Below are 17,222 nucleotides of genomic sequence, written 5' to 3'. Positions count from 1 at the left end.
GAATCTAAATATTCTTGGCTCTGAGATTTTTGGGTCTAAAAGAATAAGACAAATATTTAGGCAGAGAAAAAAATACATATACATTTAGCTAAATGGTGAGTTAGAACTAGGCCACATCTCATTTCTTCTGTCTCAAAGTGCTTAATTTAGAATCAGATTTTAAAAACAATCCTCCGCAGGCCAGGTTTGGCCCTTCCAGTTGGCACCTAGACATCAAAATCTGTGACAATCTGGAACAACTGAAAATAGCTTTGGATATTCAACTATCAGACAGTAAGGAAGGTCAAATTTGAATTAATGCATTTTAAGACTGAAAAAGAGATTTAATACAAGCCTTAAATGAGAGAAGGAAAAATAAAGAGAATTAAGCAGCTAACTTCTTCCTGCATCTCATCAGAAGTGAAGACAGAGCTTGCATACAGTTCTTTTTGCCCTTATCTTCCATCTAAGGCACTTGGGTTCAGAGCTGTACGCTGCTTCTGCTCTAACTAAACTACAAAGCAATTTCTTCAATTTTCTTCTTATTCCTGGCTAAGAACCTTCACTGTTCATCCATTTTCTACAGAATAAAGTCCAAATTCCCTTGCCTGGCATTCAAAGCCCCTCCCAATTTGAATTCAACCTACCTCTCTAGTTTTATTTCCCATTATTCATTACCCCCCATCATGAGTCCTCTATTAGAGCCAAACAGATCTACTCACTGTTGAAAAAGCAGGCATGTTCTGGTCTAGCCCTCTCTGCTAATGGCACCAGCATCCCTCCTACCCTCTTCCACCTGCATGAATTCTTCCTATCTCCAAGTTCCAGCTCCTGCATGAGTCCTCCCCAACTATTTCAGGATGCACGCACACAAAATCTCTCTCCTTCTGAAACCCTGTATTGGTTATGTAATATTCCAACCCACTCATCTGGGGCTCATCATAAACTCTCCTATTTATCTTATTTCTATGTCTTAACTCCTCAAATATATAAGTTACCTGAGGGTAAGGACCTCAGTTTTCTTTATTCCTATATTTTATATAACATTTAACCAGGAACAAATTAATATTACCTGAGCTTCAGCTAATAAATTTTAAAGCACTCATGCAAGGAAGCTAAACAAGTTGACATTTATAAGCCAAAAGGAGGAATATATGTCATCAAAAAATTTCAATATTTCACTGTATTCACATTTCACATAAGACAAAAGTATCTTTAGTCTCTTTAATCAAAATAAACAAAGAAGTCCTTATGTGTTATCAAGCCAGGAGAGTGTAACTACTGGAGACAAAGTTATTTGCACCCACTGGAAAAGGCAGTAATAAGTTTAATAGCGGCAAGTAGGTTTCTCTGCTTGACTCTGCCTAAAATATGACTGTGCTGCACCCTGCAGTCTGTGGAAGAAAAGAATTATAAGAAAGTCCATTCAAAGGCTAATCAATGTTTGGGCAGAAATAATTTTCCTACTGTTTTAAAAGTACTAATCAATTTTCCTCCTAATGTTGTCATTACAAACTGAAAATATACAGTTGGGCTGTACTGGCAATCACCATTTCATATTAAGAAATGTAGCTCTGCATTCCTTTTCCTTATTCTAGAAACAAAGAAAGTAACATGAATGTCTATAAAACCATATTACTCTATAATCTAATCTCCAATCCTCTGAAAAAAAAAAAAATCCCTGTAAAGATAAAGATTTAACCATTGTGCTCATTGAGTCCTATCTGTGAGAACACAGCCGGGTTCTGGAATGGGTCTTAATAAGCATTGCATATTCAACCTGGGAAGTTCCCTTTTAAGAAGTAAGCTATCAGGAGAAAATATATATAGATAAAAAAAAAAAGTCTTGGACTCTGGCAATTCCAAGATGACTCACAATATGTACATCCAAATTCCCAACCCCAGATTACTAAATTCCATTTCTGCCTTGGGTCCACACTGGGACAATTCCAGGTTCATGTATTGTAATGATTACTTTTAGGTGTCAACTTGACTAGATTAAGGGATACCCAGAGAGCTGGCAAAGTATTATTTCTGCACATGTCTGTGAAAGTGTTTCCAGAAGAGATTTGACATTTGAATCAGTCGACTCAATAAGGAAGATCCTCCGTCACCCAAAGTGGGTGGGCACCATCCAATCAGCTGACAGCCCAGATAGAAAGAAAGGCAAATATGTTCTTTCTCTTTCTCTCTCTCTCTCCTTCTCTCTCTTTCTCTCTCTCTCTCCTCTCTCTCTCTCTTTCTCTCTCTCTCTCCTTCTTTCTCTCTCTCCTTCTCTCTCTCTCTCTCTCTCTCCCCTGGAGATAGAATACCATCTTCTTCTACCCATGGACATAAGAACTCCAGGTTCTCCAGCCTTTGGAGACTTGTGCCAGCAGCATCCCCAGGTTGTCAGGTCTTTGACCATAGATTGAGAGTTACACCAGGCCTTGGTTCTCAGGCCTTTGGACTTGAACTAAGCCAAGCCACTGGCTTCCTGGGTTCTTCAGCTTGCATGCCGTCCACTGTAGGACTTCTCGGCCTTCATAATTGTGTGAGCCAATCCCGCTAATAAATTTCAGCTCGTATATCTATATGTACATCTGTATCTACATCCTATTGGTTCTGTTTCTCTGAAGAACTCTCACTAATACAGATACCTAGTGAGCAAATGGTCATTCCTGTGGATTCCAGAACTCTCTGGTAGGTCTTATGAAACCCAATGCAAACTGGGGTTCAGCACAAATTTCCCAAAACTGACTAGACACCAGGAAAATTCCAGAAATATCTCAATTTCATTGTATTCTTAAGGCTGCACTTGGTAAATATTTCACGATGCTTTCCAAAAGTGCTGCCAAGGAAACATTTTAAAAGTACCATTAGCAAATGAGGTTGAGAAACACCACTTACCATTTGTTCCTACTGGATCACTCATTAGAAGAATAAATGTTCTGGAAAAGTCCTCATAAAGAAATCAGTTACCTTCACTTAAACCAGCATTTCCCAAAATTATCTGAAATCCTATTAACACTTCCATGGGGCTATCCCTCCCTACTCCATGACTTTTATAAACCGTATGTCTCAACTCTATCACTAAAGAAATTCAAATAGGAAAAATGCATACATTCGAGATATATTTTTTATGTCACCTAGGGAAAGGCTTTCCAACGGGGCTCCCAAAATTTCATTCATTACTTTGACCAGTTTGCTATAGTCTAGGATCTGGTTCTGAGCTGCCCAAGTTCAAAACTGAGTGTGTCAGCTGACCAAAGAGATTCGAAATTTCACTGGCAGGTTCACTGACCACAGTCACAAGACTGCTGTTTAATGCTAGAATGTCAATTTATTAAGTTATAATTAACAATAAATAGTCATAGAAACACCTATATTCTAAACTGCAGGACCTACCCATTCCCTCCCTCTGACCAATCCAGTTGGGAAGCCAAATCATATTCAGAAGGTTAGCACACACTCAGGGGAAATCACAAAATGAATTGCATGTTTAATGATATCAGGCTAAGAAAGCCTGATGTATCCATAATAATGATGACCTTGTTTTAAAAATAAACCATAAGAGTGGTGGGTAAAAGACTGGTCTGGGGTGTGAGAACTTTTTTTTTACTTCCCCTTACAATCCAGCAGCTCTAAGAGTTCCCCACCCACTCCTAGAGATGGGAAATTGCTGGTTTTTCAATCTTATCTAAGGTGTGGGAAAAAATGTACTAGAAAGGTTGGCTATTTCTTATGACTACGTCATATAATCTAAGTAAAAACAGTGAGTTTGCTACGCAAACATAATTACAAATAAGTTGTCTTAGTCTGTTTTCTGTCACTATAACCAATTACCACAGACTGGGTAATTTATAAACAATAAAGATTTATTTAGATAATGGTTCTGGAGGCTGGGAAGTCAAAGAGCATAGCACCAGCATCTGGTGAGGGCCTTCTTGCCATGTCATAACAGAGCAGAGGGCATCTCATGGTGAGAAGGCAAGTAGTGTGTAGGTCTGTCTTCCTCTTCTTATAAAGCTACCAGTCCCATCATGGGAGGCCTACCCTGATGACCTTATCTAATCCTAATTATCTCCCAAAGGACTCACTTCCAAATGCCATCAACATATAAATTTGGGTATTAAGTTTCCAATACATGATATTTGGGGACACATTCAAGCCATAGCATAAGTCCTCAAAGACAAGCCTGTTTTTAACCCCCAAGACCCTCCAATATAGAAAATTTAGAGCTCCTTCTGTATCATAATCCTCAGTATCCACTGGCAACTCTTACTCTAATTCCATCTCCTTACTAGAGATGGCCTCACATTGCTATGACTCCCTCCCTAAAACAGTAATTTGAATGGTCACTTCTTATATTAATCTTTAGAAAAGAGGTTTTTAAAAAGTCCACTTAAGGATTAAAATGAATTCAACTCAGACATAGTCTACATAGTTGTTTTTCTTTAATTGAAAAATATTACAGTCAAAAATCCAGATTTCCAGCTACTTCTAAAAAACCTGGAAGGATTTGAGCTACAAGGAACAATAACAGACTGAACATAACTTGGCAATAACAGGCTGAAATTCAATACAGATTTTCCTTTAAACATGCTATGTTTCCTTGGGTGCCCACCATCACCTCTACTGCCCATCACTCTCTGTTGTCTTATAGCCACCCTTTGTGGATATTTACATGCAAGCCCCTACTTAATCCACTATGAGTTGGTTTTACACTTTAACTCATCAGGAACAAACTTACTACATAATTTTTTCAAGTTCTCAGAGATCTATTCATTTCATTATCCATGTTCTCCAGATATAATTTGCCATTCCCTCTACTACTTCATAACCATGGAAGGAAGTTAGTCAGCCAGCCTAGGAGTTTAAGGCAAAAAGAATCCTGGAGTCCAATGTTAAATTATTTAATCTATGAACTAAGGTCAATCAGAAGAGACACCACCAGTTAGTAGCTGAAACTTTTTCCTTTTTTGCAACTTACTATCTAGTTCTCACTCTTCCAGTTCTACCCCATGAACCTAAACCACAAAGTCTTCTATAAGCATTTGTCTACCCCACACCAAGGGCTGGCTACATAATTTGCAGGGCCCAGTACAAAATAAAAATACAAGCTTCCTCATTTAAAAATTAATAAGAATTTCAAGACAGTGACAGCAGAGCATTAAACCAAGTTCAGGGCCCTTCTAGGCATGGGAACTTGTGCAACCACAAGTTCACATGGTTACATGACCACGAAGCTAGCCCTACCCTTCTCTTACTCTTAAACATGCTTTCCTGTTTCCTTTTGTCTGTGTTCTGACCTCCAAGGGTCCCACCCGAGGCTTGGCAATCTAAATCTGATCTCATTTGCTTCTGACTGTTTTACCTTCTTGCAACAAGGACAAGCATTCCTCCCGCAGACACAAAGGCTGGCCTTCCTGACAAGATGTACAGCATAGCATTTACATCTACTGGGGCCTTATGACCCCAGTGCTATTCAATAAAGCAAGAGTCATAAAAAAGAAGGAAGGGCAAGCATTTAAGCCCCAGAATGGAATGTCATTTTGTTAGACTTCCTTCTCTACATGCACAACTTTATCTTGACAATAACAGTGGCTTGAAGTCAAGGAAATTCATTTATCTGTCTTTACAAACTCATGTTTCCATTCTAATTTATTACCCACATGGCTTATAAGCTTATAACAGTATCATTTTTGTTTCTTATTTTTTTATTACTCCCTTCTCTTACCATTCAACCAGTAGACCCAGATGGTCTTATGCAAAGTTTCCCAAAGTACTGTATATACACATGAGAAGGTTTCAGATGGTACAAGAAAGCTTTTTTTATATATAGTTTATTACTTTAAAGTGAATTGGAAACAACATAATAAATCAACCTGTGAGTTCACAGTTATCAAATTTTGAAAATACACTTAAGTAAAATAAAGTAGGTCCATTTAAAGAAAAAATGTTAAGAAAATAACAGCAGGGGGGCAATCAAAGAAGAAAAAATGTCAAGGTGGAACTCAAATAATTCAATGTGTAAAATACTGCTTTATGTTGTAAGGCAAGATAATTGATTTTTAAGATGAAATAGGCATTTGTGCCTTTTTCCTCCAGTGGAGCTAATGTCTCTAAGAAGGGAAGGAGAATGCCACTTTGCATTAAGATTTTAGAGAACATTTTTTAAAGCTTCCACGATCTTTGTCACATGAGATTGGTAAAAATTCACCAACAGGTCAAAAACAGGAAACCAACTAAAGAACCTAATGTTATCACTTTAAGTAATAACCAAGAGTGCTTGATTGACTAAAGATGGATTAATGAGGAGTCCACTCAGAAAACACAGAAAGTGTCCAAACTACACTCAGATAATCTACTACCAATATACAAGGCAGGAACTACAGGGACCTAGATGGGGGAGGGGGATGAGTGCTGGCTCCGCCATGAGTAAATCACGTAACTTTAGGCAACTCATTTACTTTCTCTGTATCTGTGAGTCAGTGATACCAAAATTTTAGAGACTGAAAAATTCAATTGAGCTGCTACATTTTACAGATGATGGAAATCAGGTAAAATGACTTGCTCAAAAGCACAAGAGCCTTCTTGCTAGAGAGCCACAAGATCAGTAACAGAGCGGAAGGCTCTGAAGTCCCCTGCCCACTATTCACACTGCTAACCTGTCTGTCTCTCTCTCTCTTTCTCTCTCTCTCTCTCTCTCTCTCTCTTCCTTTCCTTCCAAAGAAAAGTAATAAATTCAAGAGCAGCTTCCTACTTCTTAAAAATACTTCCTACTTCTTAAAAATACTCTCTCTTCCTTTCCTTCCAAAGAAAAGCAATAAATTCAAGAGCAGCTTCCTACTTCTTAAAAATACTTCCAGAAGCCTTCAGAGCTTAGTTTCCTTAGGATGACTGCTTGAGAGCAACAGATTCCTATCTGTCATAGTTAGAGCCTATCATGTATTTCCAAATAATAAGATACCTGAAAAGATATTTCAATCCTCAAATATTAGCTGGCCTAGAAAAAAATGGACACATTGATTTCTGGCCAGAACAGAGAAGGATAAGAAGTCATGGGATGTGATCAAAAAGCAGACTATCCAGGGGGTATCCCTAGATACCCCCTGGATAATGTCACTGTGATTTACAGTAAGAGCAGAGATGTTCCAAACTAAATGAATATTTGGGAGAAAAGATTTGTCTCTAAAAAATGTTTTTGGAAAGATACTATAGAACTCTTGATCATATTCCCTACTCAAAAATATATTCACATCCATGATAATATGCTGCTAAGCTAGTTTCTATGATGCAGAATCGGCCAAGTGGTAGGGCTAGGGATGGCAACATGGTCAATACAATAAAAAGGCAAAAATGAGAAGAGGAAATTCTTAGGAGAAGTCTGTGGTAGAGAGGAGTGGACAAGATAAGAGATCGGTTGGTAAGAAGGTACAGCAGATGAGGAGAAATAAAAATGCACGGATGATGGTGGAGTATCTTAGAGAAGGGGAATAAAAGCTATAGATGTGAGGGCAGCTGAATAGGGAGGAAACAAGGGAATTTACATGAAATATTGGGGTGAGCTATGTATGTTATTTTAGAAACACAAGTAAAAAAATTTAGTTATTCTAAAAATACTTTATAGCTTAACCCTATGACTGGCTCTTACAGATCACAGCCTCAGTAAGGAAGCAAGAGTCACTTTAGAGAATACTGAAAACACAATGAGATGTGGATACTCATTGCTTAAGAGCTAAGGAACTGACCACTATACAATGCGTTTTCAGAGCAGGAGGCAAATCCATGTCTAAAACAAACTACAAATAGCTTCACATCATGGATTTGGTACTCCTCCCAAACACTCAAAACCCCATTCTGAAAAAAAAAAAAAAAAAAAAGGAAGAAAAAGGAAGAAGGAAGAAAGAAGAAAGAAGAAGGAAGAAAGAAGAAAGAAAAAAGAAAGAAGAAGAAGAAGAAGAAGAAGAAGAAGAAGAAGAAGAAGAAGAAGTAGTAGTAGTAATAGTAGTAGTAGTAGTAATAGGTTGTCAGTTTCTCCTAAGACTAAACGCTACTTACCTTATGACCTGACAATTGTTCTTTTGTGCATTTATCCCAGAGGAAAAAAAACCTATGTCGACACTAAACCTGCACATCAATGTTCATGACAGCATTATTCATAATAACCCAACACTAGAAATATCCCAAATGTCACTCAATAGGTGAATGGTTAAACATACTATGGCACATTCATACAATGGAATACTACACGGAAATGAAAAGGAACAAGCTATTGATACATGAGAAAACTTACATGGATCTCAAGGACATTCTGTTTAGTGGAGGCAAAAGAGTCAATCTCAAAAGTTACATATTGAGTATTAAGTGCATACTATATGATTGCACTTAATAACACCCTCAAAATGACAAAACTATATAGATGGAGAAAAGATTAGTGGATTCCAGGAAGATAGGGGATATGAATACAAATGGAGAGTACAAGGAAGTTCCTTTGTGGTGATGGAACTACACACAACCACACACACACACACACACACACACACACACACACACACACATACACATACACAAATGCATGTAAAAACTGGTAAAACATAGACCAATGGAACAGAAAAGAGAACTCAGAAATAAGACGGCACTTCTACAACCATCTGATCTTTGACAAACCTGACAAAAACAAGCAATGGGGAAAGAATTCCTTATTTAAGGCCGGGCACGGTGGCTCATACCTGTAATCCCAGCACTTTGGGAGGCCAAGGCGGGCAGATCACGAGGTCAGGAGATCGAGATCACCCTGGCTAACACAGTGAAACCCCATCTCTACTAAAAATACAAAAAATTATCTGGGCATGATGGTGGGTGCCTGTAGTCCCAGCTACTTGGGAGGCTGAGGCAGGAGAATGGCGTGAACCCAGGAGGCGGAGCTTGCAGTGAACCGAGATTGTGCCACTGCACTCCAGCCTAGGCTACACAGCAAGACTCCGTCTCAAAAAAAAAAAAAAAAAAAAAATTCCTGGGAGAACTGCTAGCCATATGCAGAAATTTGTAACTGGACACTGGACCCCTTCCTTACACCTTATACAAAAATTACCTCAAGATGGGTTAAAGACTTAAGTATAAATCCCAAAACTATAAAAACCCTAGAAGAAAATCTGGGCAATACCATTCAGGACATAGGCATAGGCAAAGATTTCAAGACAAAATCACCAAAAGCAATTGCAACAAAAAAAAAATTGACAAATGAGATCTAATTAAACTAAATAGCTTCTGCACAGCAAAAGAAACTATCATCAGAGCAAACAGGAAACCTAAAGAATGGGAGAAAATGTTTGCAATCTATCTACCTAACAAAGGTCTAATATCCAGAATATATAGGAACTTAAACAAATTTACAAGAAAAAAAAACCCCATTAAAAAGTGGGCAAGGGACATGAACAGACATTTCTCAAAAGAAGACATTTATGCAGCCAATACACATTTGAAAAAAAGCTCAACATCACTGATCATTAGAGAAATGCAAATCAAAACCACAATGAGATACCATCTCACGCCAGTCAGAATAGTGATTATTAAAAAGTCAAAAAACAACAGATGCTGGTGAGATTGTGGAGAAATAGGAACGCTTTTACACTGTTGGTGGGAATGTAAATTAGTTCAACCATCGTGGAAGATGGTGTGGTGATTCCTCAAATACCTAGAACCTCAAATACCTAGAAATACCATTTGACCCAGCAATCCCATTACTGGGTATATACCCAAAGGAATTTAAATCATTCTATTACAAAGATACATGCATACTTATGTTCATTGCAGCACTATTCACAATAGCAAAGACATGCAATCAACGTAAATGTCCACCAATGATAGACTGGATAAAGAAAATGTGGTACATACACACCATGGAATACTATGCAGCCATTAAAATGAATGAGATAATGTCCTTTGCAGGGACATGGATGAAGCTGGAAGACATTATCTTCAGCAAACTAACACAGGAACAGAAAACCAAACACCGCATGTTCTCACTTATAAGTGGGAGCTGAACAATGAGAACACATGGACACAGGGAGGGGAACAACACACACTGGGGCCTGTCATGGGGTGGGGTCGAGGGAGGGAGAGCATTAGGAAAAAGAGCTAATGCATGCTGGGCTTAATATCTAGGGGATGGGTTGATAGGTGCAGCAAACCATCATGACACACATTTACATATGTAACAAACCTGCATATCCTGCACATGTATCTTGGAACTTAAAATAAAAATAAAAATTAATAATAAAATACTGGTAAAAAGTAAATGTAAATTCTGCAATGTAGTTAACATTATTGCACCAATGCTAATATCTAGTTTTAATCTTTTATTGAAATTATTCAGAACGTTATCACTGGGGGAAGCTTAGTGAAGGGTTCAAGAGACTCTATCTGCCATTTCTGCAACTTCCTGTGAATTTACAATCATTTCAAAATTAAAAAAATGCACTAACATTGTTTTTGGGACTCATAAAATTAAAAACAAGAACAAGGTATGTCTCAAACTACATTTCCAGTCTCACCTGTACAATCCCAAATACCTTAAAATCCAGCCACAGTAGATTCCCCATAACTCCAAGAGTATACCAAGCACTCTCTCAGCTCCATGCCTGTCCTCAGGCTATCACCTCCACCTAGAATCCCCTTCCATTCCACCTTCTTTCTCTGAACTCCATCATATCCCAAGGCCCAGCTAAATGACATCTCTGAGAAGCCTTGCCTGGCCTGAGTTCCCCATCCCACCAAGCAGAGTCCTGTTTCTTCTCCTCCACTGCCATTGTACATAGCAGTGTATCCACTCAGGGAGTAAAACATTTCACCATACTCTAGTTAGTTAACTCAACATCCCCTTTCCTTAATAAACTGTGAGCTCCCTGAATAAAATGAACACATACTCATCTTTACATCTCTAATCTCTTCTACTAAGCCTACCACGTAGATGGTATTCAATAAGTAAATGTAGATTGAATTTACACCTGACTTGTAATGAAAATACTATATTCCAAACTGCAGTCAATACAAAAACCAGTGACTATCATTAACTTCATTAATACTACTTGTAGAACAATACAGGGTACCTGCTCTAGCACCATTCCTCAGCTGGGGATTACTAGGGACTGAAGAGAGATAGCCAGCAATGCCTGGAACATGTCAGGCATATCATATACATTTTACTAATGAGAAAACCAAATCTCAGAGAGCTGAAGATTCCTTAAGATAACACAGGTGCTAAATAGGACATGGTTGAAACTCAAATCTAAATTTCTTACAACTCTGCTCACAGTTTCACACAAATCCTGAACTCCTCACAAACAGCCTTTCAGACTCTAGAAGACGGCCTAACAGATTATTCGGTGGGGAGGCTTAGGGGGACCCAGTAGTCAGGGCTGAACAGGAAGAGACATCTAATTAGCTCCCATGAGGGCCCTGGCCACCTGCTCCTCGAAATCTTTTTTGTACCAGCCTTTGTGTAGCAGAGGTCATGCTAGTTGACTTAGATTAACTTGGAATAATATTTGAAACAGAATGTCTTAACTATATAATTTTGAACTGTTTAAGCTTAATTCCACTCAAATTAGATCATGATACTGGGGCATTAAAAAGGGTTACTGACAAAAATAAAATATATATGAACAAAGCCTCTACTGCCATCAGCTCATATTCAAATCACACTTCATATTCCCTTGTCCCAACTCATCACTAATTTCTTTTTGATATTTTGATACATATCATGTATAATGATCAGATCAGGGTAATTAGCATATCCATCATCTCAAACATTTATCATTTCTTCATGTTGGGAACATCCAACTCATCACTGATTTTTAGTTAAAAAATTAAGTCAGACCATATATAAATTGACTTTTAAATATGTGTCCACCAGTGAAAAACCTGGGTTCTCCCTAGCAACTATGAAACATGTATAAACAAGAGCATTCCAATGCATCCAATATTAAACCCCCTTGGGTGCTGTCCAAGGTATGGGCAGATTGCAGTTGGTACTGTTCAGCTGAATTCCATCCCCAACACCTAACAGAGTTCCTGGCATGGAATTCAGAAAATGTTTTTGCTGATTTACAATCTGTGCTAAAGTGGACAATTAGAAAGCTGCTTTAAATAGTTTTTAAATACTCTTAAGTCTACTACTGCTGTAATCTTATTCATGCGAAGTATGAATAAGTAGCATATGAAACTATTTTTAAACTATTTAAAGTAGTCTTAAAATTGCAAGAGAAAACATAACACCAATATTCAACAGAAAAATGAAAGCTTTGAGTACAATTTTTAGGTCATAGTTTTCTCCACTGCAGCACGTGCAATGGTAGACTGAGGATAGACTCTGACCTATCATCTCACAGGAATCTTGAAACCATAAAATTTGCCAAAAAATTGAAAATCCTCAGATTTTAGAGCAACAAAGCATAACTATGATTTAACTTGTTTCTCTTCCATTAATCCAAACTTCCATAATCCATTTAGAAAAATTAATCCTAAATTTTCAGGGTACGGTGGGAATAACGTAAAATACTCCGGTTTACAAATGGCTTCCCTTCACGGCTTTAACCTACCTCAAACAAATGACTCCACTAGGATGCATGCTAGTTGTCACTGCTACTAATACATTTTCACCATGATGGAACTATATACATGCTTTTTCTTTCTGATGTAGTACTAGATTATGGTTAAAAGCTCAGGGTCAACCCTTCCTTGGTAAGATTATTAGTGGATTAAATGAGCTAATCCATGTAAAGCACAGGGTCCACAGTTGGTTCAGGGTTGGCATTCCATAATAGTAGCTACAACAATGACTATAAGGATGATAAGAAGGATGGTAACAATAGAAAATCCTTAGGTTTTGTTTTTACAACCACTACACCCAAAGAAATGTCTAAGCAGAGAACAAAGCCAGCTCACAAGGCCAAGATTCATCATACCAAGGCTTTGGGATTTCTTCTTGTTTTCTCAACTGCCCTAAAGATTTCAGCCCTGTTTATGTGACAGACCAATCCACTTTGTTTCCCATGGCTGAGACGCAGCTGCCAGGCTGTACCTTTGCAAGTTGAGGTGCAGCATGTGTGAAGGACACCCTAATGTGTTAGAGAACAGGCCAGGAAAGGCATGCCAATGGGACAAAAGCTCAGGATTTTTGCTCTCTTTAATGACCTGGAAAATATCTGTGTATTCATCCCCCACCTCCCACCTCCTGATAAACCAAAGCTGCTGCTCCCTTAATAACTTTACCTCCCAACCCCTCTTAATGCTCAACCATATCTCTGCCAGCTGACAAGAAGAGCTGACAGGCTACAAATGAAATCCTGTTCCAGCCTGTCTACCTGCAGGATGAGAAGGGAGTTAGTGAGGCAAGAAGGAAACAGAAAGCCCTGATAAGGGAAAATCAGCCACGTTTCAAAGGTGGATGAGAAAAGAGTAAATTGTATCTGATGTCCACTCAAAAACATGAACGCAAAAGAGCCTCCCTCTCTGGCAGTTGAGTGAGTTGTCTAGCAGCCTCCTTAACCACAGTTTTGCTTTGTTTTAATCAGAAGAGTGTGAAAAGAGGGAGTGTTTAAGTCAGAAATGGGACAAAGCCTGGAAATGTCACTTCTGACAGCTATTTGTGGACAGAGAAATGAAGTAGGTATATGCCAGTTGTGCTCCCTTGTTTCATCCGATTCTCTCATTGACATATTACACATTTATTGAGTATTCATTGGTGCCATATACCACAGAAACAGACATAAAAGGCTAGGTTTTTTTTTTTTTTATCAAGGGTGGAGTTTTGCTAAACAAAAACAAGGAGGAGGGCATTCCAGGTAAAGGAAACCCAAGGAGGGGGTAGGGGAAACAACAGGCAGAGGCAAGCAGCAAGTACAGGGCACGTTCTGGAATACCGAGACCAAAGCCTTCCACTGCTTGTTCTTCCTTGTGCCAATGACGACATGTATCATGTTCTCACTGTGTGATTTCCTTGCCCTGAAATTATTGCTTACTTGTAATCATTGGTCTCCTTAACTAAGAATGGCTGTCCTGTTGGAGGTACAGAGATCCAGGTGGAAATGTTTGAATTAGGAGTTTTTATTTTAAAAATTATGCATTTTCTCAGAATATTTGGATATTTGCTACTTAGTTTTGGCTGATTTTTGGCAACCTATTATAAATAAAGGGTGTTTGGGGTGTTTTGCTCTGGTTTAGCTTTTAGTGGCTCTACCTATGTCTATATGCTGAAAGGTTCTCTTTTCTTGAGGTCTGAGCAGGTTATGGAGTCTAAGGAAATAATGCAGGAGACGCAAGAGCTGTGCCTGGGCAGAACATATGGGTGGTACCATGACCATGTGTCCCAGGTGTGAATGACGCTCACTTCCTACCAAAACCTGCAGTCTCTACCCACCCCCAGCAATACTTGCTAGCCCCTTTTTATGCCTTACTCCCTAGTACCTAACATTATCAACCTCCACTGCTTTTTACTTACTTATTGTCTATCTCTCTGTTTTACAGAATAAGGGATTTTTCCTATTTTGTCACCACTGCATCCTTAGCACCCACCTAATGCCTGGTATATTGTAAGCATTCAATATGGACTTGTTGAATGCCTACTCAGTGTATGAATTCCATAGGATAGTACCAATTCTAAACACTGTCACACTGTCCATATAAACACCATAGCCCTATTCTTAGATCAGCTGTCATGACTTTAAGGTTTGGTAAATATGGTCAAGCAAGGCATGGAATACATACATGGTAAAGTGGCAGGTAAAGTAGCTTAATACCTGCTATTTGTAAAGATGCTTAAGCACTATCCTTACACAGATAGCACCAAGAAGCATTAACCTACTGAGAGCTTGGATGACTCCCCACTCCCCACCCCTCAAATCTCATGCTGAAATGTAATCACCAATGCTGGAGGTGCGGCCTGGTGGGAGGTGTTTGCGTCATGAGGGTGGATCCCTCATGAGGGAGGCTGGGTACTCTCCTCAAAATAGCAAGTGAATTCTTGTGAGATCTGGTTGTTTAAAAGTGTGTGGTGCCTCTCCCCTACCTCTCTTGCTCTTTCTCTCACTTTGTGACATGCCTGCTCCCGCCTCACCTTCTGCCTTGAGTAAAAGTTCCATGAGGCCTCCCTAGAAGCCAAGCAGATGCAGTGCCATGCTTATACAGCCTGTAGAACTGTAAGCCAATTAAACCTCTTTCTTTATAAATTACCTAGCCTCCAGTATTCCTTTATCACAATGCAAGAATGGCCTAATATACCCACTGACCCATCTGGTTTCTACACACATGAATCTGTTTCAGTCATTAGTCAATTAGATAGAGTATGCAGAGGCCTGCATAAAAACACAGTCTAATAGCTATCACTTTGTCAGGCATTATGATTTGGCCACATGTTTTTATACTTTCTATCTTAACTCTCCAAGTGTCATCTTTAAAAGTAGCAGTCTTTCTGGATATTAGAGTATGCACACGTTTTCCCCAGTTCTGTAACTCTTACCCTTGGAGCTTAAAACACACACATACATACACACACACACACACACACACACACACACACACACAAACTTATATCAAAACACTTTCCCAATGTTCATTTTGTAAATCAACGCATGCCACCCCTACAAGAGGGGGAAAAGAGAAGGTAACAAGAAATATTATTGGTCAATTTAAAGAAGGCTCTTTAATTTTTTTAAAAAATCAGCCAGTAAAAAAGTATCTCAGAGGACAACAGGAGGATTTCTGCTGGAAGCCAGGCTTGCAGAGGCTGATCACATTTGCAGATGCAAAATTCCATTACTTCCCTATCGACCTCAGCAACATTAGTCTCTGGTCAAAGGACCAGAGTGGGAGAGAGTGGGCTATCCTGCTTCTAAATGGGGAAGGAAAGCAGCCAAGCACAAAGAGTTTGAGAAAGAACAACAGTGTCCTAGTGAGAAAGTGTGTTAAGTAGGCCAGTATTGGAACCACATTTTGTCGCACACAAATCCATAATTGTTCTTTTGTATTTTATTTTCTCCTTTCTTTCCCCCTGCTTTTCTTTCCTTGGCCCTATTCACTATTACTGTCATTTCATGTGTGTTTTTTTAAACCATGATATATTTGTTCAATTACCTGCAGACCTACAGCCTCTTCATCAAATTAGCTGATCTCTATTTATAGCTGATAATTCTGTACAGTTCTAATAAAAATTCTTAGTAGTGATAAAACTAAGTCAAATTTTGCAATGCTGTTTTTCATCCAGGGACTGCTGCCACTATCCAATAAATTTGTTTCAATGAGTGTTGTAAATGTACATTTTCTTTTAAAGATAGTACTTTTAAATAAGAAAAACCAGACAGTGGTAACAGCAGATAACACTTCCACAATTTGTTTCACTCCCTACTCCAAAATCACATTACCTTAAAAAATGAACTTTAACAGACAAAATAATAGAATAAATCTAAATGGACTTTGAATAAAGATTCTATCAGGAATGGAATTCATCTGCTTAACAGTGACATTTTTGTTGCTATTAATATATCTCCATATTCATTAATTTTACTAAACATCTTATTTCATTTACTACACTCAATTTATCAATTGCTCTAATGGCCTCTAAGTATGTTAGAAAGCATAATTAAAGAAAAAGTTAAAACAAATAGCATCTTTAAGCCAGGGTCTAACAAAGACCCCAAACCACATTCTGAGCCATGGGCCAAATTCCATATTAGAGCCCAAACTACAACTCATCATGTTCTTTGTTAACAATTAAGGTTTGAATACCCAAACATCAGTGCAATGTCTATCATGAAAGCCTTCCCATGGTACTCATCTCAGAGGTAAGACTATTACTTTTACCTACAGAGAAGTCGTGTCTGAAAATAATGGAATCCTGACTGTGATGCCAAGGCCTGGGTAGTCAGGCCAACCAAGAGATACAAAACTAGCATCCCCTTGCAGCACAGGGTCTGGCAGGCAGAACAAGTCAAGGCAGAAAGTGATCAGATCCATGTGGATCAGCTAGGCAATGAGGAGCATCCATGATTCAAAAGTCTGAGCAGGAAGGCAAACTCTCGCCTAGAAAATTCAAAGATTGGCAAAAGCAACCAGAATGAGAAGGGACAATGATCCCTGTTCATATAATTGAAGCTGGCTGCATTCTGCCCTATTTTATATCAGTTACTAGATATGAGTGTGGAGGGTTCGCGAATATCAGCCAGAGCCAAAAGGAGCTAAGAGCCTTTGTGCATTTATCTCTT

At 38.6% G+C, this 17,222-nt stretch overlaps 1 protein-coding gene across 4 annotated transcripts in view; it reads right to left on the bottom strand.

Annotated features, from left to right (window-relative positions):
- Positions 1-17,222, bottom strand: part of PPM1L (protein phosphatase, Mg2+/Mn2+ dependent 1L) — a 322,672-nt gene that overhangs the window by 235,909 nt on the left and 69,541 nt on the right. For 2 of the 4 annotated variants that reach the window (NM_001317912.2, NM_001317911.2), the window contains exon 1: positions 702-845. The exons of the other annotated variants lie outside the window; for them this stretch is intronic. Coding sequence is in view for 1 of the 2 variants with exons in the window: in NM_001317911.2 (NP_001304840.1) it covers positions 702-719 (18 nt within the window). In the remaining variant the exon portion in view is untranslated. Of the gene's footprint in view, positions 1-701; positions 846-17,222 lie in introns of those variants that run through there. 4 annotated transcript variants of the gene reach the window in all.

This window comes from Homo sapiens, chromosome 3, assembly GCF_000001405.40.
Source record: "Homo sapiens chromosome 3, GRCh38.p14 Primary Assembly".
Lineage (NCBI taxonomy): Eukaryota > Metazoa > Chordata > Mammalia > Primates > Hominidae > Homo > Homo sapiens.
Note: the sequence above shows the minus strand (reverse complement) of the source record. Positions and strands in the feature narration are given on the sequence as shown.